This window comes from Homo sapiens, chromosome 3, assembly GCF_000001405.40.
Source record: "Homo sapiens chromosome 3, GRCh38.p14 Primary Assembly".
In the NCBI taxonomy this organism is placed as follows: domain Eukaryota; kingdom Metazoa; phylum Chordata; class Mammalia; order Primates; family Hominidae; genus Homo; species Homo sapiens.
In genome coordinates, this window is record NC_000003.12 from 156,820,721 (window position 1) to 156,846,527 (window position 25,807).

Sequence of the window (25,807 nt, forward strand, 5' to 3'; positions counted from 1 at the left end):
TGTAGCTGACCATTTTTGAAAACTGGAAGTGACTTCAGAAAAGTCATGAAGACAGTAAGTGTGAGACAAAGTTAGGTTTACAGAATTAAATACTTTTTGGATATTTACATGTTACTAATCCACTATAGGCTGATGTCCCCTGGGTACTGGCTGGCTGGCAAAGTCAACTAACACTGTATGTGAGGCCCAAGTGCTTCCTCTTATATTTGGTCCAAGTACACTTCTGTACTCACATTAGGCCATGCCCTCAGCCATTTCCATTATTTGTGTGAAAATAGACCATAAGCAGGATCTGACTTATGTTTGGAAGGGTTCTCAGTTGGATGAGACATTGTGTATGAAGTGCCTGGCAAATAGAAAGAGCCCAATAAGTACTAGCTTTTCAAAAATGTTAGGTTTTTTTCTTTTGTGCACTTGTGTTGGATGGAACCCAGAAATATTAGTGAAAGCTGTGGTTGCTTCCAACCTGGGAGGCCTGTTTGCAAGTATTTAATTTCCATTTTTGAGGGGATAGAGTTGTACTGGGTTCTGGTTTGCAGGATGAAAATAAAGTTGGGGCTAACTGTAATTTTGCCATGCTCCCTTTGTACAGTTTTAAGCTCACTTTAAAATTAGCAATCTTGGGCCTAGTGCGGTGGCTTACACCTGTAATCCCAGCACTTTGGGAGGCCGAGCCGGTTGGATCACCTGAAGTGAGTAGTTTGAGACCAGCCTGGGCAACATGGTGAAACCCCGTCTCTACTAAAAATACAAAAATTAGCCGGGCATGGTGGCAGGCACCTGTAGTCCAAGCTACTGGGGAGGCTGAGGCAGGAGAATCCCTTGAACCTGGGAGGTGGAGGTTGCAGCGAGCCGAGATCATGCCATTGCACTCCAGCCTGGGTGACAGAGCAAGACTCTGTCTCAAAAAAAAAAAAAAAAAGCAATCTTGTGTGCCCGGAATTGGTGGGTTCTTGATCTCATTGACTTCAAGAATGAAACTGTGGACCCTTGCGGTGAGTGTTACAGTTCTTAAAGGCGGTGTGTCCAGAGTTTGTTCCTTCTGATGTTCAGATGTGTTCGGAGTTTCTTCCTTCTGGTGGGTTCGTGGTCTCGCTGGCTCAGGAGTGAAGCTGCAGACCTTCGCGGGGAGTGTTACAGCTCTTAAGGCAGCACCTCTGGAGTTGTTTGTTCCTCCCGGTGGGCTCGTGGTCTCGCTGGCTTCAGGAGTGAAGCTGCAGACCTTCGCTGGGAGTGTTACAGCTCATAAAGGCAGTGTGGACCCAAAGAGTGAGCAGTAGCAAGATTTATTGCAGAGAGCGAAAGAACAGAGCTTCCACAGTGTGGAAGGGGACCCGAGCTGGTTGCCACTGCTGGCTGGGGCAGCCTGCTTTTATTCTCTTATCTGGCCCCACCCATATCCTGCTGATTGGTAGAGCCGAGTGGTCTGTTTTGACAGGGTGCTGATTGGTGTGTTTACAATCCCTGAGCTAGACACAAAGGTTCTCCACCTCCCCACCAGATTAGCTAGATACAGAGTGTCACACAAAGGTTCTCCAAGGCCCCACCAGAGTAGCTAGGTACAGAATGTCCATTGGTGCATTCACAAACCCTGAACTAGACACAGGGTGCTGATTGGTGTGTTTACAAACCTTGAGCTAGATACAGAGTGCTGATTGGTGTATTTACAATCCCTTAGCTAGACATAAAGGTTCTCCAAGGCCCCACCAGAGTAGCTAGTTACAGAGTGTCAATTGGTGCATTCACAAACCCTGAGCTAGACACAGGGTGCTGATTGGTGTATTTACAAACCTTGAGCTAGATACAGAGTGCCAATTGGTGTATTTACAATCCCTGAGCTAGACATAAAGGTTCTCCAAGTTCCCACTAGACTCAGGAGCCCAGCTGGTTTCACCCAGTGGGTCTCGCACTGGGGCTGCACAGGAGCTGCCTGCCAATCCCACGCTGTGAGCCCACACTCCTCAGCCCTTGGGTGGTCGATGGGACTGGGTGCCATGGAGCAGGGAGCGACACTTGTTGGGGAGCCTCCGGCGGCACAGGAGCCCACGGAGGGGGTGGGAGGCTCAGGCATGGCGGGCTTGCAGGTCCCGAGCGCTGCTCCACGGGAAGGCAGCTAAGGCCCAGCGAGAAATCGAGTGCAGCGCCAGTGGGCTGGCACTGCGGGGGGACCCAGTACAACCTCCACAGCCACTGGCCTGGGTGCTAAGCCCCTCATTGCCCGTGGCTGGCAGGGCCGGCTGGCTGCTCCGAGTGCGGGGCCTGCCAAGCCCACGCCCACCCGGAACTCCAGCTGGCCCGCAAGCACGGCGCGCAGCCCCAGTTCCCGCTCGCCCCTCTCCCTCCACACCTCCCTGCAAGCTGAGGGAGCCAGCTCTGGCCTTGGCCAGCCCAGAAAGGGGCTCCCACAGTGCAGCAGTGGGCTGAAGGGTTCCTCAAGTGCCACTAAAGTGGGAGCCCAGGCAGAGGAGGCGCCAAGAGCGAGCAAGGGCTCTGAGGACTGCCAGCACGCTGTCGCCTCTCGCTTGGATAGAGTTCCTACATTTTTATCAGAATTGCAGGCAACATACCTCTTCTACATGCTTTTCATGGTGGGGGAGGAGGAAACAAAGGAGGGAGCATAAAACTACTTTTTGAAGTGAAGAACGACATTTCCCTGCTGGATACATATTTTATGTAAATTCACAACAGTAACAAAAGCACAGACACTGTGTCCTCATAAACCAACACAAAGTTCTGCAGACCATGTGGAAAGCCCTAGGTTAGTCGCTTTAGAGCGTCTCTATTCCAAAAACTGAGAGCATTTCCTTCCCCAGGGATCACTGACAATACGGGGTTGGGAGCGGGGAATAAAGGGTCATAAAAAGAAGTTAACAGCAGCTTAATTTGGCTATTACTGGATAATTTTTAAAAGTCGAAGTAAAAAGTGAAAATTAGCTCAATTAAAAACTAATGGGGTAACCCAAAACTTTATTTAATATGCCCAATGATGGGATTATTTTAAATTGTACTTCAATTCTAGTATGGACAGTAATGGGGTGGGAAGACAGAGGGAGGGCAAGTGAGAAACCTGAAAAGGGAGAGACCAAGACAAAACACCAACATAGGGCACAGGATTCGTGGCTTTTTTTTTTTTCTTAAACCTATTTTGTAACATCTTGTCACAACACTTCCTTTGCACTATCTTCTTTCAGGAATAACACTTTTTGCTGCTACGCTTTAAAAAATGTCATTCATCACAACTTAACTCTTATCCTTTGAAATTCTTACTGGGGTCTACTGCTTTCCAACTTTCTTTTTCTTTGTTTTCTTTTTTTAAGAGACAGGGTCGGGCTCTGTCACCTAGACTGGAGTGCAGTGGCCAGATCATAGACTGCAGCCTCAAATTCCTGGGCTCAAGTGATCCTCTCACCTAGGCCTTTCTGAGTAAAGACTACAGGTGTGTGTCACCACACCATGCTAATTTTTTTTTTTTTTATAGTGACAGAGTCTCACTATATTGCCCAGGCCAGTCTCAAACTCCTGGCTTCAAGAGATCCTCCTGCCTCAGCCTGCCAAAGCTCTGGGATTATAGGCATGAACCACCACGCCCAGCCCAACTTTCTATGATAATGAAAATGTTCAGTATCTATGGTGTATCATACATTACCTACATGACTACTGAGTACTTAAAATATGGCTAATGCAATATAGCAATGGAATTTTTAAACATACTTCATTTTAGTGAAATTAGTTACATGAGGCCACCTTACTGGACAGTGCAGGTCTAAGGGAAATTTACAGTGGAAAGGAAATTGGTCTCAAAGGCAATATGCAGACAAATAAACACAGATGAAATTAAACCAAGGAGTGAACTGCAGCCTTTGAGCTGGATTTTCTCCCATCCTTAAAGTGTTGCCTTTCCTTATCCTATAAACAAAGTACTCAATAAAGAAAACTAGCCTCAGAACAGAGTGATCTTGCATTAGGTGTGCAAATTCCTGTCCCAGATAGGTACCAGTTTTGGTGCCCTGTATCTAAACTTCCATTATCACAAAATGAGAGCAGTCCTACCCTCACTATCTCTCAGATAAATATGACGAGGATGAATAGCTCTGAAAGTTATTTGGGCTTCTCATAAGCATGTTATAGTTGACCACTTGGTTGACTGTCCTCTAGGCCTCTTAATCCTTTCTTCTTTGAGGGAGTGGAAACAGAAAATCAAGGGTAGGCATTGGGGCAAAAATATCAGTCAGGTTAAATGTACAAGATACATCTACTAGACTTTTTTTTTTTTTTTTTTTTTTGAGACTGAGTCTTGGTCTGTCGCCCAGGCTGGAGTGCAGTGGCATTATCTCGGCTCAGGGTAAGCTCTGCCTCCCAGGTTCACGCCATTCTCCTGCCTCAGCCTCCCGAGTAGCCCAAGTAGCTGGGACTACAGGCGCCCGCCACCACGCCCGGCTACTTTTTTGTATTTTTAGTAGAGACGGGGTTTCACCGTGTTAGCCAGGATGATCTCGATCTCCTGACCTTGTGATCTGCCCGCCTTGGCCTCCCAAAGTGCTGGAATTACAGGCCCGAGCCACCGCGCCCAGCCACATCTACTAGACTTTTTAGTGCCAAGGAACAAGGCACTAGTGTTCAGTACTTCCTGGTGTCATTAATTAGTAGTTATCAATAAGCAGTTTGGTGTACCGATACTGCTCTGCGTCATTTAATCACTTCTCTAAATCTATAGGTTCAATTAATTTTCTTTGTATTTACTTAATCTTATTTTATTCAATAGCAAACCAGTCTCTTTGCCTGCTACAGAGCCATCGATGTTTTCTTTGGTTCTTGGAAGAACTGTACTTCGACCTTATATAATCCTCAGAAAGGCAAGATCTGGACTACGAATGAGTCACCTGCTAATTACACCAATGGCTGCTCCTGCCTTGACCAGTCACAGAGTATCACCCTATCTCGGTATGCTGCTCTGCTTGTCGCGTAGTAGGTCTATAAATACTTGTTTTATGAATGAATGTATGAACAAAGGGAAGTTAGTCACGTGTAAGGGTGGGTAGCCTGCGATAAATAAAGTGTAGACTAGGAGGTCTCAAAATACTTTTTGAACTAAGCCCTTAATCTTCACTACTTTGGACTAGAATGGAAATGTCACCAACGCCTTCCCAATTAATTTGTCCTGGCTGTAATGACTGAAACCAGAACTTCCCTTTACACCCATGACCTCTACAGGCATCTCTTTTTCCTCTGCTCAAGAACAGTAACTGCTCACTGCTGTGTCTACCACATAGGCCCCAGAGCAAGGGGTGATAGGTAGGGCTATAGGCTCCCGACTCCCGACTCCCGGCAGTGCCTCTCTCCAACCCCCCACGAGGCTGGGACAGCTCCCTCCATCTCAGCAGTCGCTACCAAGCACCCGACCCACTCTCGCCCACCTCATCCCTCGATCCCCTTCCCTCCCTCTCACAGCATTCCGCGTAAGACTAGCCCAGCCTTCCGAGCCCCACCACCAGTTTTCCCACTTCCGCCCGGCGCGTGAGACCCTGGGCGGTGCAGGGGAGCGTTGACGACAGACGTGGGCCGTGACGTCGCCGCGCCCTGACGTCCAGCCGACTGGCGGCGCGGTCGCCCGGGAGACCGGGAAAGCCGTTTCACACCCGTCCTAGTCGAAGTCGAGGTGAGGGACGATGGCTTTCCTCAGCCTGGGATGACCCGGTCCTCCAAATGCAGTTCCGGAGTGGAGGCGTGCTCGCACCCGGGGAGAGAGCCAGAAAGCTGAGCCGCGGCGCCCCAGCGAGAGCACGAGGCCCCGGGTCTGGACTCCGCCACCACGCTCCTCTGCGGCCCCTTCCTGGTGTCTGCCAGCCCGCGGGGCCCAGGCGCGGTCCGCCTTCCTCCCAGCCCCGGGGAACGCGCGGCTCTGCTTCCTCACCCCCGCACCCTCCTCCTCCTCCTCTTCCGGCCACTGCAGGTCCAGGGGGAACGGGGTTAGAAAGGGACAGATTTGAAAGCCATTCCAGCAGTTTTGTCTGGCCTTGCGGTTGGTTTCTGTGTGGAAGAGCCTGCCGCTTCAGGAAAGTCTTAGGATGTGAACTCCCGCCTTCACCTGCCCCTGACCTGCTCGTTGTGGGTGATTCACGCCATGGGAATGGTTCTTTACGTAAGGGCTTGAAAGCTGAACGTGAGTTAATGGCCTGACGTGACACTAGTGTGAGAAACGGAATTGGAAACGAACAAGGACGTGTCTGCATTTTAAAAAATGTCTTTTCGGTGATCTTGTTAGAGAGGAGGTTCACAAACACCCACGTAGCTGCAGCCACTTATCACTGCACCTCTTGCCAAAGTGCGGTCCACATACGTGCAATGAGAAAGGATTAAAGGGACTTGTTTGATAACACACGCAAAACTATGTAAGACTAAATTTAAAAAATTACAGATTTTCCCTGTTGCCAAAAGGGAAAGACCCTTCTTTTTTCTTGAGAAACTTAGTATTTGTGAATGCTTCCTCTATTTAATATGTATGCAAATGTTTTTAAAGACCTAGGAATGCTTTTCTTGAGGACCTGGAAGCCATTTCTTTAAAATGTAAACATCAAGGAAGATAGGGCCCCAGTCTCCTTGTCACTTTGGGAGTTTAACCTAGGTGCGTTATTCCTAATTGTAAACACCTGTTTCGTTATGGAGCTGTGCATTACTTAGGAGGAAAGCCGTTAGCTAACACAGGTGGTTACCCCAATTACCAGATGAATTAAAGAGGAAATATAAAAGAATGTATAGAACACTATGTTAAGCCCTCTTACATGAGGACACGTTACCAGTTTCCTTGAGAATGTGTAATGGATTGTGTCTCCTTGGCTGTATAAAAGAGGGATTTCCTTCTCTCTTTGTAACCTCATTAGCAGATTAGCCGTGATGTGCATCAAAGTCTAGTTGAATGCCTAATAAAATTGTTGTCTTTCTGCATTGTGGAGCATTTTCTGGGTTGGCAGGACTTTTAATTTTTAGTTTCCCCCCGATAATCAGAACCTGCCAATTCCTCCCCTTCTTATGCTAAGGCCATAAAGTTGGAATAGATTCACAGACAATGAAGGCACTACACAAAAACTGTTCTACTGGTGCTTTGTTTATACTGTCATTTAGATCCGTGCTCTCAGATAACTTTATGGGTGAAATTTTAAAAGGATGTTTAGATGGTAATTTTTTGGAAAATTCTCCCAATAGAGTTGAAGTTACTATTTCATTTTACTGATGGCAAATCCACCATTAAATGACAGAAATGAGAATAATGAGCCTTCTGGGCTCTTGCCACATGATTATGACAATCTGCCAAACATCAGATTATGTTTGGGCTTATGTTGACATGGTTAATGGTACCTCCATTGCAGACCTCAGTTAACTTTACCACACATGTCATATTATGTTTTATGTGGGAAGACATAAAGCTCATTAGTTTTTGGTTTTAAACAGCAACTCACTGAAATGAGTCTTTGTGCTAACACAGGGAACAAGGAATCTTCTCTTCCACTAGTGGTTGCACCATTTACAAAGATAATGCCACTATAGGACTTTTTGACAACTACGGTTTCCCTGCTACCTTGCTGTATGGCCGGGGTTGCTCTCTCTGATAGAGTACTTTGCTTCTCCAGTCTCTTGTCAAAATCCTGCCCTGATTGAATACAAGCAACCTCAGGAAGCCTTCACTAACTCCCACCTCTCATCTGAAACATAAGATCTTTTCCTTTCTTGAACTCTTAGACTGCTCTTGTCTATGCCTTCTTCCCTGCTATGGAATTGTGCCTGTATCATCTGACTCTGCTGCCACTGCCCTCGCCCTTCTCCTGACTTCTTAGATATGTATAAACAGCCCTTACTCGTGAGGGAAGGATTTAAAAAAAAAAACAAAAAACCCAAAGTGCTCCTCCATTTATCCTCTGGTTTTATGAAAGTAGTGACTGACCTTTATATTGAATGGCTTTTATTAGAAAAAGAAAATCTGTTAAAAGTAAAATATCTGCATAAAATTATATAAATGTCCATCTTAGATAAAATTGGCACTTGGCTTCTTATTTTTTGATCACTCTTCTGTTCAGTGTTTGCATATCATATTTAATATGGTATCTCTAAATGCTCTTTTTCTGTATTTCATCATTTAATCCAGCATTCATGCCACAATTGCTTTTTTCATCTGCTAAAATACTATATTTTCATACTTTTTCTAGCAGCATTTCAGAAAAATATTTGATTTTTAAAATACACTGAAATGTGTATTTAAAATTTTAGTCATTATGTATTTGAAAAACAATTAGTAGTAAATCACAACAGAAATTATTAGACTATAAAGTTCTAACAAAAGAGAAAATATTCTTTCTAACTTAGCAGTCTCTATAGTTCTCTCCTGTTCTATTGGCCCAATAACTAACGGAGAAAACCCTAACTGTACCTTCTAACATTGAGCTGATGAAATAAGCATCTGTTGAAACAGTTATCACCATTCATCCCCAAATACTTCTAGGAGTTTATAAAGCATCTTAATTTGAATGTTCTCTACATTATTTCTGTTCTGACTGTTGCCATCAATGTTCTTAGATTTCCTTTGGCTTCAAAGCTCTCTCACCATATTTTGGGAAGTTATGGATCATCACATTCCCATGCATGCGTTGCCTGAAGAAATCCAAAAGGTATGATATATTGTGTTGCTACAGCCTAACAGTGGGAACATGTAGCAGTTACATAATTCTAAAACCTAGAGGAGTGAATTCATTAATTTTGGTCATAGGATCTGAATGAATTGGTGGAGTGGGAGAGGGAATAATTATTATCATAATGAGCAGAATTGTAGAATTCAATTCAGTATGAAGAATTTTGCTGCTATGGAAGAAGACATATATCTAATTCCAGTACAGTATTTGACCAGGTGGTTGTGGAGCCCTAGTGAAAAGCAGGCATCAGAAACGTCCATGTGTGTTTTAATGGGGCTGGATTTCTAAGCCTCTATTATGGTTTGACCAACATTAATTCTCAGTACTTACTGTGTGCCAAGCACTGTTTTAAGCCCCTTTTATGCAGATGACCCTTGAACAACATGGAACTAAATTGTGTAGGTCCACTTATATGTGGGTTTTTAAAATAAATATATTGGAAAATGTTTTGAAGATTTGGAATGGTTTGAAAAAACTCACAGGCGAACCAAGTAGCCTAGAAATATTGAAAAAATTAAGAAAAAGGCATGTCATGAATGCATAAAATGTATGTAGACACTAGTCTATTTTGTCATTTACTACCATAAAATATGCACAAATCTATTATAAAAAGGTAAAATTTATCAAAACTTATGCACACAGACACTTAAGAAACTACGTGGTGCTATTTGCAGTCAAGAGATGTAAAAAAACATAACGAAGAAGTATTAAATTGTAACTACGTAAAATTAACTGTAATATATACTATACAAATGTAATAATTTTGTAGCTACCTCCTGTTGCTTTTGCAGTGAGCTCAGGCATTGTGATTATCTCCTTAAAACACTGTGTGATAATCATGGCCATGTGAGCAGTTCTTCCCTTCAGGAAAAAGTGATCTTGAAGTTCTTGTGTATTTTTCATCATGTTTAGTGCAATTTCATAAGCTTTGGATAACAACAAAGGACACATTTAGCATGCCACTACCTGATGCTGGAAGTACTTTCAAGAAGCAGAGAAAAGTCATGACATTACAAAGAAAAAGTTGAATTGCTTGATGTGTACTGTAGAATGTGGTGTGCAGCTGTGGTTGCCCACTATTTCAAGATAAATGAATCCAGTGTAAGGACCATTAGATATGTATATATAAAGGAAATTTATGATGTTGTAGCTACAGCTATGCCAACAGGTGCAAAAACCATGTACTTTTTGCAAAATCTCTTATAATGAAAGCATAGTTTTTATGTGGGTGCAGAATTGTTATAAGAAAGGCATACCTGTAGACTCTAATATGATTCAAGAAAAAACAAAGTCATTCCACAGAGTGAGCAGAGAGTGGTGAAAAGTCTCGGAGAGAAAAAAAAATCATTATATGGCAACTTAAAAGGTGAAAGATCTAAAGCTGGATAATTTAATGCCAGCAAAGGATGGTTTGGTAATTTTTGAAAGAGGTTTGGCATAAAAAAGAAAAAGTCAAGATAACAGGGGAAACATCTTTTGCTGACCAAGATGCAGCAGACAAGTTCCCAGATGTCATTAAGAAAATCATTAAGAAGAAAGGGGGTTTTTGGTTTCTTTTTTATTGTTTTTGTATTTGTTTGTTTTGTTTTTTTGCAGTAAAGAAAGTTTAATTGATATGAGGCCACTGTGGCATGTGGCAGATGGAGTTATTACTCAAATCAATCTCCGAAAATTTGCAGGGTAGGGATTTTCAAGGATAGTTTGGCAGGCGGTGGGGCTAGGGTATGGGAGCTGCTGATTGATTGGGGATGCAGTCATAGGGGTGTAGAAAATGGTCCATGTGTGAAGACGGAGAGTCCAAGTGGGGCATCAGTCATTAGAAATACAAAAGCCTGAAAAAACATCTCAAAAGGCCAATTGTAGGTTCTACAATAGTGATGTTAATTACAGGAATAATTAGGGAAGTTGCAAATCCATTGGAATAATGGCTCCTAGTCATTTACACCTACATATTAGCAGAATGCAGACCCCTCTAATTCTCTTAACCTTTTGGCTTTTATTAGTTTTACAAAGATGGCTTAGTTTAAGGGATATTATTTAAACTATAAAGTTCTCCCAAAGTTAGATTGGCCCATACCCAGAAATTGTGTATTAGTTTGTTCTCATGCTGTTAATAAAGACATACCTGAGACTGGGTAATTTATAAAGGAAAGAGGTTTAATTGGCTCACAGTTCCACATGGCTGGGGAGGCCTCACAATCATGGCTGAAGAACAAGGGATGTCTTACATGATGGCAGGCAACACAGAACTTGTGCAGGGGCGCTCCTCTTTATAAAACCATCAGATCTTGTGAGACTTATTCACTATCATGAGAAGAGCATGATAAAGGTTCACCCTCATGATTCAATTATCTCCCACCAGGTCCCCCTCACGATGTGGGAATTGTGAGAGCTACAATTCAAGATGAGATTTGGGTGGGGGCACAGCCAAACCATATCAAATGACCAAGGGCAGTTTGGAGGTTAAAGGCAAGACTGAATTTGGTTAGGTCAGAATTTTCTCACTGTTACAATTTTTGCAAAGACAGTTTTAATCCCCCTCCTTTGGGTTTCATCATACCTTATTTTTAATCTGTGTGTTATGGAAATGGAAAAAGGCCTACAGCCACTGTAACTTCTTCCTGCTCACAGGGGCAGATTTGGAGTGGGAGTTGCCCTCAGGGTAAGAGGAGTGAAACTGTCTTGTAATTGTTGGTATGTATTCATGTGTGCCAGGTTGAGATCCCAAGGTCTGCATAAGAAAACATTGGTGCTCTTATCCACAGCTTTCACACAGCACTTAAGTGAACAGGTGGACTATAAGACAAATAATGAGCCCCAACATAAGGAGAGAAAGTCCTCACTTCAGGAATCCCTGTAGAACTGACCTGAAGCCTTAAGGGATACAGGTGAATGACCCCAAGAATCAATCAGATATGGGGTCATTAGCAGAGACTCAAACATAGTGGATAAGGCTGGAATCTAATAACAGTTGTACTATAGTTTTTTTCTGAAACAATTTTTCTCTCTCCAGTTCCCCATTTCTACCAAACACAAATCATAGTAGGACCAATTTATTTGCAAAATAAGTTCCAGTCCCATTATATTTGGCCTGGTTATTTGCATAAAATGCAGCAAGAATAGTTATTTGCCAAATAGGTTCTTTTTCTAAAAATAATTGGCTTTGCTGGAATTTATTTCATAAGGAATCTCAGATTAGACCTTTTAAAAGTCTCTAGCCCAGCCAAGGATTCATCTGTGCCTGCACATACCTGTATGAATTGGGTGAATTTCTCTCTTCTTGAGGTCCCACAATAACTTGGGATTCCTGGGTCTGTCAGAAAGTGACATTCTTTATTTACTACGGGTTAGGAGCCCTGTAAAGGACAAGGTATGAGACCAGTATTTCCAAGGGGCTGTTATCAGCTCTGTAAGTCAACCTCAGTTACTCAAAGCAGCCTGAAACCATGCCATTTCCAGTCAAAGCCTTGGTAAAATAATCAGTGTCTCCAGTTGTGTCCTGTTGCAAAAAACAAAGCAAAACAAAAAACATTCTTATTGAACTTATGCAAAAAACTATATTGCCATATGCTAAGAAGACTCATAATTAGTTTCAAAATTCTGGAGAAATCACGTAGAGAGAAAGAAATATGCTCCAAAGTTTGCAGATAGAAATATGCTTCATTCAATTGTTAAAAGCTATAAACAGCTCAAAAGGAAAGTTGTTATGTGTTTTGACCCTGAAAAACAAAAAGGATCAGAAACATTTCAAACAAATAGTCATAGAAAGATTATTTCATTATTCTCTTAGTTCAGTCCATACAGTTAATTCCTGTTCTGTTTGATATTCATGAACACTTCAGCTCTTCCTGAGAGTCCTAGAAGTTTCTCCCTCTATATTAATGGCACAATCTTTAAAGATATCAGAAATCTGCATTCAAGAGCACCTGTTAGAGTTCCATAGCTGATTATAAAATCACCTTTTGAAAAGGATCAAAGTAAAAATAACTGTGGATGACAAGAGGCTTAAACAGCTATGGTTTAAGACTCAATTAACAAGGAAATTTGGTTATTTTTGTGGCATACAATTTAATATAACAATTATTATTACTGATAACATACACTAAGTCATATTGAAATTATAGGAATCTTGCACAATTCTGGAACACATACCAATAACACTTTCATATAAATACAGCCCAAAGAAAGCCAAATACCAATTCATACTTGACAGTGCTCACTCTATGATGTCAACATGCCAAATAAGCCAGATGTCTCTTTTGGACTTCAGGGGACCTAATATTGAAAAAATTAATGAAATCAAAAGGACTGAATTTAGAACTTGAAATTTTGATTTTGGAAGGTTTGTCAAATATCAAAGGTTTAGAATACTTACTGTTATAAAATAGTATCATTGGTTATTCATTTAGCAGAAGTGATAACTCAAAAATTTCAAAAGGCAAAAACCTAAACAGCATACCCAATAAAGGTAGCATGTGGCTACCTGAATCTCTCTTTCCCCTTTTTTCCTTTTTTTTTTTTTGCAGTTTACTTAAAAGGCAAAAACATTTCATTGTGGCTCAGTATTACAAAAAAACTTTGTTCAAAAGAGGAAAACCAAATTTTACCTTTTTATTAATGTACTATTAATGTTAGGCCCAATTTTTTAATAAAACCTTATAAACAAATCTATACAGTCTTAATCAGTTTGACCATAAGGTAAGATTTTCCTAAACATCCCCCCATAACTTTTTATAATTTATTACAGGGCAGACCCCCATAACTTTTTATAATTTATTAAAGAGCAGATCAATGTTCTAAGAAAACCATTATTCTGACACATGGGTCCAGATTCTGGCCTTGTAACAGTGTGCTTTTTATTTTAATGTTTTAATTTATAGAAAAACTAAATAATCCCGTTCAACTTTTGGCTACATTGCTCACACCCACAGAGCTTCCTTTACAAGATCAATGTATTATAAATCTTTTACAACTTGCTTAAACCTTCAGTATTGTCATATCTTTTTGGGACAATCCTCAAAAATCTCCAAACTCAACGTGATTACTTTCCTTTGAACAAAAGCCATATTTCCAAGACAAAAACACATTCTACTTCCTTTATATAACTTGTATATAAACTTTCTCTAGTAGTCTCAATGTTAATATGTTAACTCTTAGTCACTTTTATTTCTGGTTAGGAACCTGGTAAGTAAGTAATTTTAACCATGTATCAGATTGCAGAGCCTAGGACAAGAACAGAGCTTTAGACAGTGTCTGACTCTTCCTAGCCTAGTCAGAGGACAGGGCTAACTCCATATGTCCCCAGATCTTACCTAAAATCTAATGACTGAAGAATAGACAAGTCAATTTTCAAAAATATCATAGAAGTAGTTTATAACCTTAAAACGTATAGCAAAGACAGAATTCAGTCTGCCTACTGTAGACCAAATGTCTAAATTTTGAAGATGTTTTTATTTTACCAATAATCTTTAAAACTATACTTAACAAAGATTTCTAAAGTCATCTACACTAAAAGGCATTAAATTTTCTATTTTTCTGACAAAATATTTTATTTTAGGGCTCATTCTTCCCTAAACCAGTTAATTAGAGTTCTTTATGTAAACATCCCACACACAACACATATAATTACATGGAAGGAAATGGATCTGGTAGTTGTAAGATTTTTTTGTTTGCCAGTTTTTAAGTTTCTATTTCCTATTTTAGACTATCAGTTTCTTGATTACCTATTCCCTGCCCTAAACAATTGTCAGCTAGGCAACTCTAAATTTGCATTTCTAAAGGGACAGCTCCTAGGTGAAACAGGATAGAGAACTTATATTTTAAAAGCACAGAGCTGAGACATTAAGCCAAAACATTGTATGATAATAGTTTCTAATATACACAGGCAGGCACCCTTACCAATGGGGGTTTTCTTAAATATGTAAATTTCTAAATTGGATTTGTGGCTTCAGGGTGGAGCCCTTCAAGGAACAGGGCCAAGAAAGCGTGCAGCTTCCAGGGCCTGACAGGCAGAGCTGTAAGATAGAACAGATCCCCAAAAATCAAGGGCTCCGTTTTTACGCCTAATCCTGGGTCCCCCAAAAGAGAAACGCTATAGGACGAGATAGTGATTTTATGGTGTATCTCATTGCAAGGACATTTTTCACTGAGGCTACTGGGCAACCCAAAGCCAATCAGCTCAATCTGTAATCAGTCCATTCCCCAATCCATACTTTCCGGGTCCCCAAGAACATGGTTTTCTTATTCGGTGTGCAAAGAACCAAGTATCACCCTGTAGTAACTCAATTGTAAGCATCTGCCATTAGCCATCCCTAAGAGTATATCTCTTACCTAGCTATTACACACCAAGGCTAAAAGTTCTCTCGTAAAGCCTCTCTCATAAAGCGATTCCTTCCTCCCTTCCTTCCTTCCTTCCTTCCTCGCTCCCTCCCTCTCTCCCTCCCCCCAAGTCTTGCTCTGTCTCACTTTTTTTTTTTTTTTTTTTTTTTTTTTTTGAGATGAGTCTCACTCTGTCACCAAGGCTGGAGTGCAGTGGTGCAATCTCGACTCACTGCAACCTTCGCCTCCTGGGTTCAAGCAATTCTTGTGCCTCAGCCTTCTGAGTAGCTGGGATTACAGGCATGTACCACCATGCCTGGCTGATTTTTGTATTTTTAGTAGAGAGGGGCTTTCGTCATGTTCAAGACTGGCCTTGAACTCCTGACCTCAGGTGACCCCACCCACCTTGGCTTCCCAAAGTGCTGGTTTTACAGGCCTAAGCCACCAAGCCCAGCCAAAGCAAAGTAATTTCTGATATCCTCAAAAGTTAAAAAGGTCGGATAATGTAATGCAAAACAGAGCAGAGTCATAAATTTTGAGAAGGATTTGTTTACTTACAATTTTGTGGGTTTCATGAGGAAAACAGGTTTTTCCCTAAATGGGGCCCGTGGTACCTCCTCTGTTTCTCCTAAGGAATCCCAGGCTGGCAAAAAGAAGTAAATGGAGAAACAATTCAGCCAACCAAGAAGAAAAAAAAAGCTTTTTCTCAAAAAAAACAAGATCCAAGAAGAGAAAAGGCATAAAGACCTTTAAAATATATGTATAGTGTAAATATCAACTTTTAGTTAAGCCAACTTTTAACCATAGAGCTTCGTTAAAGAAATCCTTTTAAATCTTTTATTACTATACTCTAGCCAGGACAAACAGCCTCTGGCTTTTAAGCTTTTTTCCCCCTCAAAGGTCTCCTCCTAAGTGAAACCAGTAAGTCTTATCTAAGATTATGACTTATCGATGGATGCATGAGGTGTCTCCAAAGAGACAGCAAGCATTTTTACAATATGTAGAATAGCCCCTGAGGTAGCTCAGAGAAAAGAAAATTCAAGACAGGAAATCAGAAGCTGTCCATGGAGAAGAAAAGAATCAATAAATGGCAAAAGTCCCACAAGTATCCAACCAGAAAGGACTCATTCCCAAAGCCAGCAATTGAGCCCAGACTGCTACTATAAAAGGGTAGTCTTAGCTACTGAGCTACAGCATGGGGCAGCTGCCATTAGTCTTCCAGGAAGGAGTCTGGGGCAGTCATTTTCAAGCTTGTAAAGGATTGTAACTGCTCAAGAGAATTTTCTGAAGCTAGTTAGGACATTATTCATCCTTTTTAAAAACTTTAATTATGGAGAATAAAAGATTTCTAAAATTCCTTTTAAAAAAAATGGTATACTCAGTTTCAGTAGTGACTTAATCTGAGTCTTTTACAAGCCCAGATGTTAATGTTCCAGGATTTTATCATATAAGCAAGAGGTATTCTTAGAGAGGGGATAGAGGAGATATCTCCATCGTCCCCAAGAATTCACTCTCTGTAATGGGCTTAAGATAACAAAAGATGACAAGAGCCCTGTAGAAATGGGATCTTTTAAGACAAGACTCACCCAAAGGCATGACACATTTGGGATGAAGAGTGTGCTGACTCATCTCAGACACCCGGTCCTCTCATACTGACATGAACTGAAAAATTCCTGCCCTTTGGATGGTGGAGACTGAGAGTGTACCTCCACATGGTCAACAGAGTCAAGCTCCCAAGGACGTAAAACAAGATGAGAAGGAAATCTCGTCCAGTTTTTGTTTCAGGGACGTGCAGCAAAGTTTGTAACTGACCAGCCCACAGGGCCAGCTTGAGCATTGGGCTTATAGGGATCCTAGGCCCTTGTTCTATCCTACGGTGCCCCTCTCCATGACAGAAGACACATAAAGATAAAAACTGAGAGGAAAGGAGTGAAACAATGTGAATATTCATAGCACAAAGTGCACTAGATTTGCTACAGCCTCAGACTAATCACACAAATCCTTTTTCCCATTAATCAGACTTTGCAAAGGAGACAGTGATTTTTACCATCAGTTTGCGCAGAAAGGGGCCAGAAGCCTGGCTGGTAGGAAATTCTTACCCTTTTGCCGGCATGCTAGCTTTCCAGGTTCCTTATCTCTCAGCAGCTTTGGTGATGCTGCTTGCTGTACCATAGCTGTGGGGGCCATGCTGCATTACAAAAGAAAATCATCTCTTTCTGTTTCATGGAATCATAGTCAAAAACCTCATTTTGCAAGATGTAGCCAGGCTACATGGGGGATCCAAAATGACGTTTTTTATTCCAGGCAGAGGAAAATACACATGACAAAACACAGACACCAGTCACCCCGCTTAGCATCCAAGTATTGACCTGGCAAGGCTTAAACTTGCCTCTGTTGGCCCGTGTTGTCTTTGATCCACTCAAAGTGGGGTGGGGTGTTCTCCAACCAGGAGTTTCAACAGGTGATCTTTAAGCAACATGGAAGAGTGGATAGTCACCCTGAGTTAGACCTGTTGAACTTTGTTCATGGCTCACAGAATGTGACCAACCAGACAAACTAGTACAGTCTCCTGGGCTTTCATCAGCAATTCTTTCAGGGAATTCTCTCCATATATACAAATACGCACAATGAGATAAAGACAAACAAAAAGGCCTTCCAAACCAGGATTCCTAACCAAAAATTTCCAGGAGTAATTCTTCTGAACTAACCTCTTATTCTCTAACTGGGGAGACATCTCCCCAAACCCAGAGTCTTCCTACTATTTTGGGAGAGCCAGCTAATACCCCCAAAGGAGCCAAACCAAGACACTTGAAGGAGCAGAACCAAGAACCCCAGTGGAGCCAAACCAACTGGGAGAAGGAAGAAGGTTCTGACCGTGCTTAGAATACTCAGCAGACCAGTTTAAAGATGTCTTTCTAGGAAGGATGTCTTTCTCCACTGCAATTAGGCCCAAGCACTGTGGGTCAGCAGGGCCTCACTGGGCAAGGACAGCACCAGACATGGCCTTCAGTTCCAGAGAAATAAGCAGCTGCCAGAGCTCACCTCCAATTCCAACATACTGGTGGGGGGCTGACAAACTGCAGGCAGGCACCCACAAAGGCAGATCCCAGACAGACCCCCAAACTTATAATAGCCCGATGGGTTCTTCCTCCCACACAGATGAAATCAAGCCACTGAGACCAAGCCATTGCAGTAGAGAAAGAGTTTAATGGAAACGAGGATGGCCATGCCACAGAGGAGATGGAGTTATTACTCAAATCAATCTCCTAAACAGGTTTTTAACACAAACAAAAGTGCCCTATTCTGGAAAAAAAAAGGACACAAAATGCATTAGTAAGGAGGAGACGTGAGCACCAGGATTTAAGGAAGGAAGGGATAGGCCAAATCTGTTGTTTTGTGCAAATGTAGTCAGGTTTATGATCAGGACTGCCCTTATCTATAAAACTGCTAATCTCTAGCCTTGATGGGAAAAGATAAACATCAGGTGTTAGTCTTTTGGTTGTACAACACAAAGGCTTGGACAAGGAGATTGCTTTTTCTAGACTGAGTCCATCAATGCTTTGTCTCTGAAGTCAGGAAGTACCTCAACAGTAGTCTATGGAAAGGACTGTCAATGCTATGGAAGAGAACCCTGACAGAACATTACCAAAACCTTGAAAGATTACACCATTGAAGATGCCATCATTCTTATAGAAAAAGCTGTGAAAGTCATCAGGCCTGGAACAAGAAATTCCTTCTAGAGAAAACTGTCCAGACGTTGTGCATGACTTCAAAGGATTTACAATGGAGCCAATAAAGGAAATTATAAAAGAGATTGTGGATATGGCAAAAAAGGTCAGAGGGTGAAGGGTTTCAAGATACTAATCTTGGAGAAATTCAGGAGCTAACAGACATCACACAAGAGGAATTAGCAGAGGACAACTTGGAGATGATTTTTTTTTCTGAATCAGTGCAGACAATGAGAAAGAAGACATAGTAGAGGCAGTGCTAGAAAACAAATTGATGCTAGATAATATGGCAGAAGGGTTTCAATTATTCGAGACTGCTTCTCACTTCTTTTACAACATGAACCTTCCTATGATATGGGCGCTGAAACTAAAGCAAACGTTGGAAGAAGGATTGGCACTATATAGAAACATTTTTAGAGAAATGAAAAAGCAAAAAAGTTCGACAGAAGTTATGACATATTTCCTCAAAGTTACTCCAAGCGTGCCTGTCTTTTTTGCCTCCCCTTCCACTTTCTCCACCTGTGTCATCCCTGAGACAGCAACACCAACCCCTCCTCTTCCTCTTCCTCCTCAGCCTGCTCAATGTGAACATGAGGATGAAGACATTTTTGATGATCCACTTAATGAAGATTAAATATATTTCCTCTTTCTTATGATGATTTTCTTAACATTTTCTTTTCTCTAGCTTACTTTATAAAATATGCATTAATTGAATGTTTATATTATCAGCAAGGCTTCCTGTCAACAGTAGGCTATTAGTAGTTAAGTTTTTGGGGAGTCAGAAGTTGTACATGGATTTTCAACTATGTGGAGGGGAGGTTCGCACCCCTAATGTCCATGTTGTTCAAAGGTCAACTATATATCAACTCATTTAATCTAATTAACACGCAGTTCTTTAGTTTTTATGCTGTTCTCTTCCCTGTTAGTTCACATCTGTACCCAGGACAAGGCATTTTCCCCATATTTAGCTTGCAATCCATACATTGTTAATAGTATATTTTTAAAAATCTCTTTGAAAAAGATTGACTTAAATTGTGAGTTATAACCTCAAACTTTATCATCAATCTTTCGGGTTTTTCAGTAAATCTAGTTAACTCTTAATTAACAACTAATCTGTTACATTTTGATTAAAATTTGCAGTCAGCTCTCAGATATGCTTTTGTCCATTGTGCATGTACCTTTGGGCTGCCTGTTAGCATTAACCATGCCATCGATTTAACTTGATGCTTACTGTTGCTGCCTGCCCTTCAGATTTATGTAAACTGTAACCCAGCAGGAACAGGAAGAGAAGTCCATTTACATTTACCATAAAAGACCTTTTAAATCATTACATTCAATTATCTTCACCTTTTAAGTTAGGTGTAAAAGAGTAAGCACAGAGAGGGTTCAGCTATACTTGTACTCACCTGAGAAATGGTGCTTATATATATTTGAAGACATGAAATATCCTTCCTCTTGCCCTGAACTAAGTCCCTTTCTTGTACTAGCCTAGGTATGGTGGAAAATAAAAGAAACAAAGCAAAGCAAACAAAATCTACACGAATCAATAGCTGCACTTCAGACCCTAATCACCTCTCAGGCAGAGGATGTACAATGACATGATAAAAAATAGCTCTAGAAGACAGTGTGTGATTTAGTGCCATGTAAGATAGTATCTGCTGTGAGAATGAAGAAGGCAGAAAGAGGAATCCCTGCATGGTGGGATGGCCAGAGGGGGAACTTTATGCTGGTGGTGAAACTGGAGTTGCCTCTTGAAGGCCTAGTATTTCCACAGGCAGCGGGTAAGGCATCCTAGGCCAAAGGAACAGAAGCTTTCTGGTGAGAAAAGCTGGCCAAGTTAGAGAATGTTTAACAACTTCAGTGTTTTGAAAATATAAAATATGTATTTATTTTTATAAGGTTTTTATGAGAGTTATAGAGGGTTTTCTCTCATGTTTGAGATACTTTACAAGTAAATTGTTTAAAAAATACTAAAACCAAGCATTTCATAAATCTGCAGATAAGAGTCTAAAGCAAGAATGGCAGGCAGCCATCCAGGCAGTACAGAGAAGTGGGGACACCAAAAGAGGCTCAGCTGCCTAAGGTCCTAGACAAGTGTGCTAGTCGTAGACTTGGTCATATAAAGTGCAGCTTTGCACTTTTTCAGACCTAAGTTAGATGCATTTATACAACAAGTATTTATTATGCCTATTATGTGCCAGTCCCTGTTTGGGGTGCTTGATTTTAAAGTAGCCAGAATATGTATATACATCCCAAAGCCTATGACAGTACCGTCTTTTAGAATAAATGTGTTACATAACTTCTTACCTATATTTGATTTATCTAGATTGTCTGTAATTTCACTTAATTTCCTAGTGACTGGGCAGTGTATTTAATCAGCTGCGTGTGTTATTCTATACAGAATAATATTAGAGAGAGAGATCGGGGTCCCCAAACCCCTGGCCGCTGACTAGTACCACTCACACAGCCCGAGGTGAGTGGCAAGCCAGTGAGCATTACCGTCTGAGCTCTGCCTCCTGTCAGATCAGCAGCAGCATTAGATTCTCATAGGAGCAGGAACTGCACATGCAAGGGTTCTAGGTTGTGTGCTGCTTATGAGAATCTAACTAATGCCTGATGATCCGAGGTGGAACAATTTCATCCCAAAATCATCCCCATCCCCCCAGTCCATGGGAAAATTGTCTTCCACAAAATCAGTCTCTGGTGCCAAAAAAATTGGGGACTGCTGATTAGATATATAGCTTATAGTGGTAACAGGAGCCATTTAGATTAGAACCATTTCATTTTAATGTGAAGAAACAAAGACTTTTTTTCATAATAGCTTGGAAATGGCTCTATTTCTCTATTGAAGAAAAAAGGACCTGAGATGTGTGGATCAGTGTGCAGTGACAGGTCTTTCAAAGGCTTTTTTTTTTCTTTCTTGTTCTGTTAACTTTTTATGTTACTTTTTATGCTGGCTTCTCTTTCTAGAGAAGTCCCTGCTGTTTCCTTTTTTTTCTGTGTGTAGGCAAGGAAGGTGAGTGTAGAAATCAGGGAAGAGAAGGTGAGAGCCTTTCCTATTTATTTCTTTGTGTATTTTTGCTATGTGATATGGAAACAGATGGCTGGTAAATTAGAATTTGAAAATGACTATGCCACACTGTACTATTAATGCCAAAATGAGCAGTAGTAGAAAAAGGAGAGTTACAAAAAATGTAAAGGTGGTAGGGGAGATGGCTACCAAAGAAAAAGTGTAGAGAAGAACTATGATGATAAAAAGCTACAGTTAGAGAATCCATTGCCTGATTAGAAGGCTAAGATTGTTAAAGCATTTTCCCCTGGTCTCATCTCCTCAGGGAATTTTAGGGAAGAAGGAATAAGATAATCTTTGACTCTCATGTCCAGGTCTTTTTCCTTTTTTATCACAGTTTCTGACTGAGCATAGTATACTTGTCAGACTTCCATCTTCTTAAGTGGCAGAAAATGTAAAAGCGGCCCATGGGCTAGACAGCAAAATCACATTTGGCTCCTTTTTCTACTGCTGCACTCTACAGGTTAATTCTGTATGTATTTAGATCATATCTCTAAATCTGTTCTCTCTCCAGGCTGAGCTGACTCCTACCTGTCCCTGACCTCGGATAACCAGCAGACTTACTAGCATTTTCATCAAGTATTCTGAAAGCAGAATATACTTGAAATTATAGTACTGTTCTGGGTTTAGGATTTTATTGCCACAATTTAAGACTAAAACAACACTTACAGATCAGCAAAGTAATACTGTAATTGTATATCTCTTCCCCTCATGAATGTCAATCCATTTTAGAGACATATGGACTCCTCTTTTTAGAAAAGAGCAATGAATAATTTTCCTTTTGCTGTTTTTGCTTGGGGACATATGTGGAAATCAAAACAACAGCAACAAACTAGTGGAAAAATCAGTTAGTTTGCAGAAAGTGGAACTGATCTTTTGTTTTTTTAAAATGGTGACAAAATGAACACTTGTAATAGGATTTTAACTTCAGGAAATCTTTATTACCACAGGACACAAAAGTAAAAAAAAAGAGACCAGAGTTGTTTATTTTGCAAAACAGAAGTAGCGATACAAGGGCTAGAGAGCGCACTGTTCTCTCAGGGATAACAATCCCTTTCCCCAGCAGTAACAGCTCATTTTGTCCTGTTTCAGTAAAGTAATTTTAGTACTTTGGAACTTTGAAATTTATCCAGAATAACAGTTTTATATTTCCAAGCACAGATGGTCATTGCCAGAAAAAATAAACTTAATTTCCAGGTTATTTTGGGCCACTGTGGCTAGGTTCAGATTTTTTGTTGAGTTGAAGTGGAAGAAAAGGAAAAAGAAAGTGGTCATACAAATGTTAGACCTAGCATCCTGGGAAAGTTGTGATGTGTGTGTGTGTGTGTGTGGACGTTTATGTGTGATGTGTTTTTAAGCAATTGTAGTTTTATTAAAACCTTATGACAAAGGGAATAGGAAGCTGTATAATTTTTGGAGAGACTATTCACTTATTTTTGTGACCCAAGGTAGTTCATTAGAAAAAGCATTTTCTTCAAAATATTATTATGAATCTTGAAAAATCTGAATTTGCCAATTTGTAGTCAAAAATACTTTTGCCAACTGACCATAGAAGGTCATTGAGTTTACTAAGGTGAGGATTCCCAGTGGAAAAATAGGTATTGGAGGAAATATACTTTGGAAGTATATATAGATAGACATAGGCATATCATTTATAATTTACATAGGGTAAAGCCAACATTTCTGATATTGCTCAATAACATGTCTTTATGGATGAATCTCTGGTATTTTAGTCCCAGATTGATTTTTTTCTATTTTTATTATTTTAAAATTAAACTTCTTATTTTGAGATAATTGTAGATTCACATGCAAGGTAAGAAATAACACCAAGAAATCCCACTTATTCGTCATCTAGCTTCCTGCAGTGGTAACATCTGGCAAAACTAAAGTACAGTGTCATAACCAGGATATTGACAATTGATACAGTCAAGATACAGAACACTTTCATCACAACAAGGATTTTTCATGTTGTCCTTTTATCACCACATTCACCTTAACTTCCCCAATCTCTTCCCTACTCCCAGTCCATGGCCCTGGCAACCATTGGTCTGGTCTCCAATAATTTTATGTCAGGAATGTTATATAAATGGAATCATGTAGTGTGTAATATTTTGGGATTAGCTTTTTTCAATCTGTAATTTTCTGGAGTTTCATTAGGTTGTGTGTATCAATAGTTTATTCCTTTTTATTGCTGAGTAGTATTCCATGGTATGAATGTACCAGTTTGTTTAACCATTTACCTACTCATTGAAGGGAATCTAGGTTTTTTTCCACTTTTCAGCTGCTTTACATATAAAGCTGCTATAAACATTCATTTATGTGAACATACATTTTCATTTTCCTGGGATAAATGGCCAAGAGTTCAATTGCTATGTTATATAGTAACTACAGGTTTTTTTTTTTTTTTTAAAGACACTACTAAACTGTTTTCCAGAGTGGGTATACCATTTTACATTTTTTACCTGCAGTATATGAGTGATCCAGTTTCTCCACATCTTTACCAGCATTTGATGTTGTCAGTGATGTGTAGTGAGTGATATCTCATTGTGGTTTTAATTTGCATTTTCCTAATGGCTAATGAAATGATGTTGAATATCTTTTCATGTGCTTATTTGGCATCTGAATATCCTCTTATGTGAAAGGTCTCTTCAAGTCTTTTTGTTCATTTTCTAATTAGACTTTTTTTTTCTGCTGAATTTTGGAAATTCTTTATATAATCTAGGTACTAGTAAGATACGTGGTTTTCAAATATTTTCTCCTGGTCTGTAGCTTGTCTTTTAATCCTCTTTGCAAGGTCTTTTACAGATCAGAAGTTTTTAAATTTGATGAAATTCAGGTTATCAGATTTTCCATTTATGAATCATGCTTTTGGTATTAAATATGAGGTCTTTTCCAGTTTAGATCCTGAAGATTTTCTCCTATTATTTTCCTAAAAATATTTCTTCTAATATTTTCTACTTTTATATTTTATATTTTTGTCCCTACTTGTAGAATATGTGAGGTTTAGGTTGAGGTTCCTTTTTTAAAAAAAAAAATGTATGGATATCCAATTGTACCAGCACCATTTGTTGAAAAGGCTATCTTTCTTTCATTGAACTGCTTTTGTACCTTTGTCAAAAATCAGTTTGGCATATTTATGGAGGTCGTTTTCTGTTCTGTTCCATTGATCTATGTGTCCTTCCTTCTGCCAATATCATACAATCTTGATTACTATAGCAATACAGTGTGTCTTGAAATCAGGTAGTGATTCCCCCCACTTTATTCTTCTTTTTCAGCATTATTTTAGCTATTCTAATTCCTTTGGCTTTACATACAAATTTGAGAATAACTCTTTCTATATATAAAATATCTTGCTGAGATTTTGATAGAAATTGGATTATACCAATTTAGGGAGAATTGATATCTTTACTATTTTGAGTCTTCCAAACATAAACATAGTATCTCTCTCCGTTTATTTAGATCTTCAATATATTTCATCAGCATTTTGTAGTTTTCAGCATACGAATCTTGTACATATTTTGTTATATCTACACCTGAGTATTTAATTTTTTGGAGCAGTTGTAAATATATATATATGTATGTATTGTATTTTCAATTTCAGTGTTCAGGTGCTCACTGGGTATATATATAAATGCAGTTGATTGTTCTGTTTGTATCTTGAAACATGCAACCTTGCTGAACTTACTAGTTCTAGTTTTATTGTCGATTTCTTGGGATTTTCTATGTAGATAATTATGCCATCTCAATTAAGGAGAGTTTTATTTTTTCCTTCTAATATGTATGCCTTTTATTTCCCCTTCTTGCATTGTTGCTCTGGCTAGATATTCTAGCACTATATTGAATAAGTGCAGTGAGGGTGGATATCCTTGCCATTTTCCCAACCTTAGGGGGAAAAACACTGAGTCTTTTACTACTAATTATAATAAAGCTGTAGGGTTTTTTTTTTTGTAAGTGCCCTTTACTAAATTGATTTTTAAATTTGTAAATAAGCAGGTTAACTTAATGATGAGGAA

General features: G+C 40.1%; 1 protein-coding gene across 2 annotated transcripts in view, besides 3 other annotated features; it reads left to right on the forward strand.

Moving 5' to 3' along the window:
* Positions 86 to 135: a silencer, noted in NCBI's record as "silent region_14841". NCBI's record gives its function as "represses an Ori minimal core promoter by ATAC-STARR-seq in GM12878 lymphoblastoid cells {active_cell/tissue: GM12878}" and the evidence as "EXISTENCE:reporter gene assay evidence [ECO:0000049][PMID:35858748]".
* LEKR1 (leucine, glutamate and lysine rich 1) overlaps positions 5,633 to 25,807 on the forward strand; it is a 219,777-nt gene continuing 199,602 nt past the window's right edge. The window contains exons 1-2 of one of the 2 annotated variants that reach the window (NM_001004316.3): positions 5,633 to 5,656; positions 8,566 to 8,657. In NM_001004316.3, the coding sequence (NP_001004316.2) occupies positions 8,610 to 8,657 (48 nt within the window). In that variant the 5' untranslated portion in view covers positions 5,633 to 5,656; positions 8,566 to 8,609. Of the gene's footprint in view, positions 6,390 to 8,565; positions 8,658 to 25,807 lie in introns of both variants that reach the window. The other variant, NM_001193283.2, reaches the window with a different exon arrangement.
* Positions 6,106 to 6,165: an enhancer, noted in NCBI's record as "active region_20733". NCBI's record gives its function as "activates an Ori minimal core promoter by ATAC-STARR-seq in GM12878 lymphoblastoid cells {active_cell/tissue: GM12878}" and the evidence as "EXISTENCE:reporter gene assay evidence [ECO:0000049][PMID:35858748]".
* Positions 6,480 to 6,774: a silencer, noted in NCBI's record as "tiled region #161; HepG2 Repressive non-DNase unmatched - State 2:TssF". NCBI's record gives its function as "represses a minimal TATA promoter and a strong SV40 promoter by Sharpr-MPRA in HepG2 cells {active_cell/tissue: HepG2}" and the evidence as "EXISTENCE:reporter gene assay evidence [ECO:0000049][PMID:27701403]".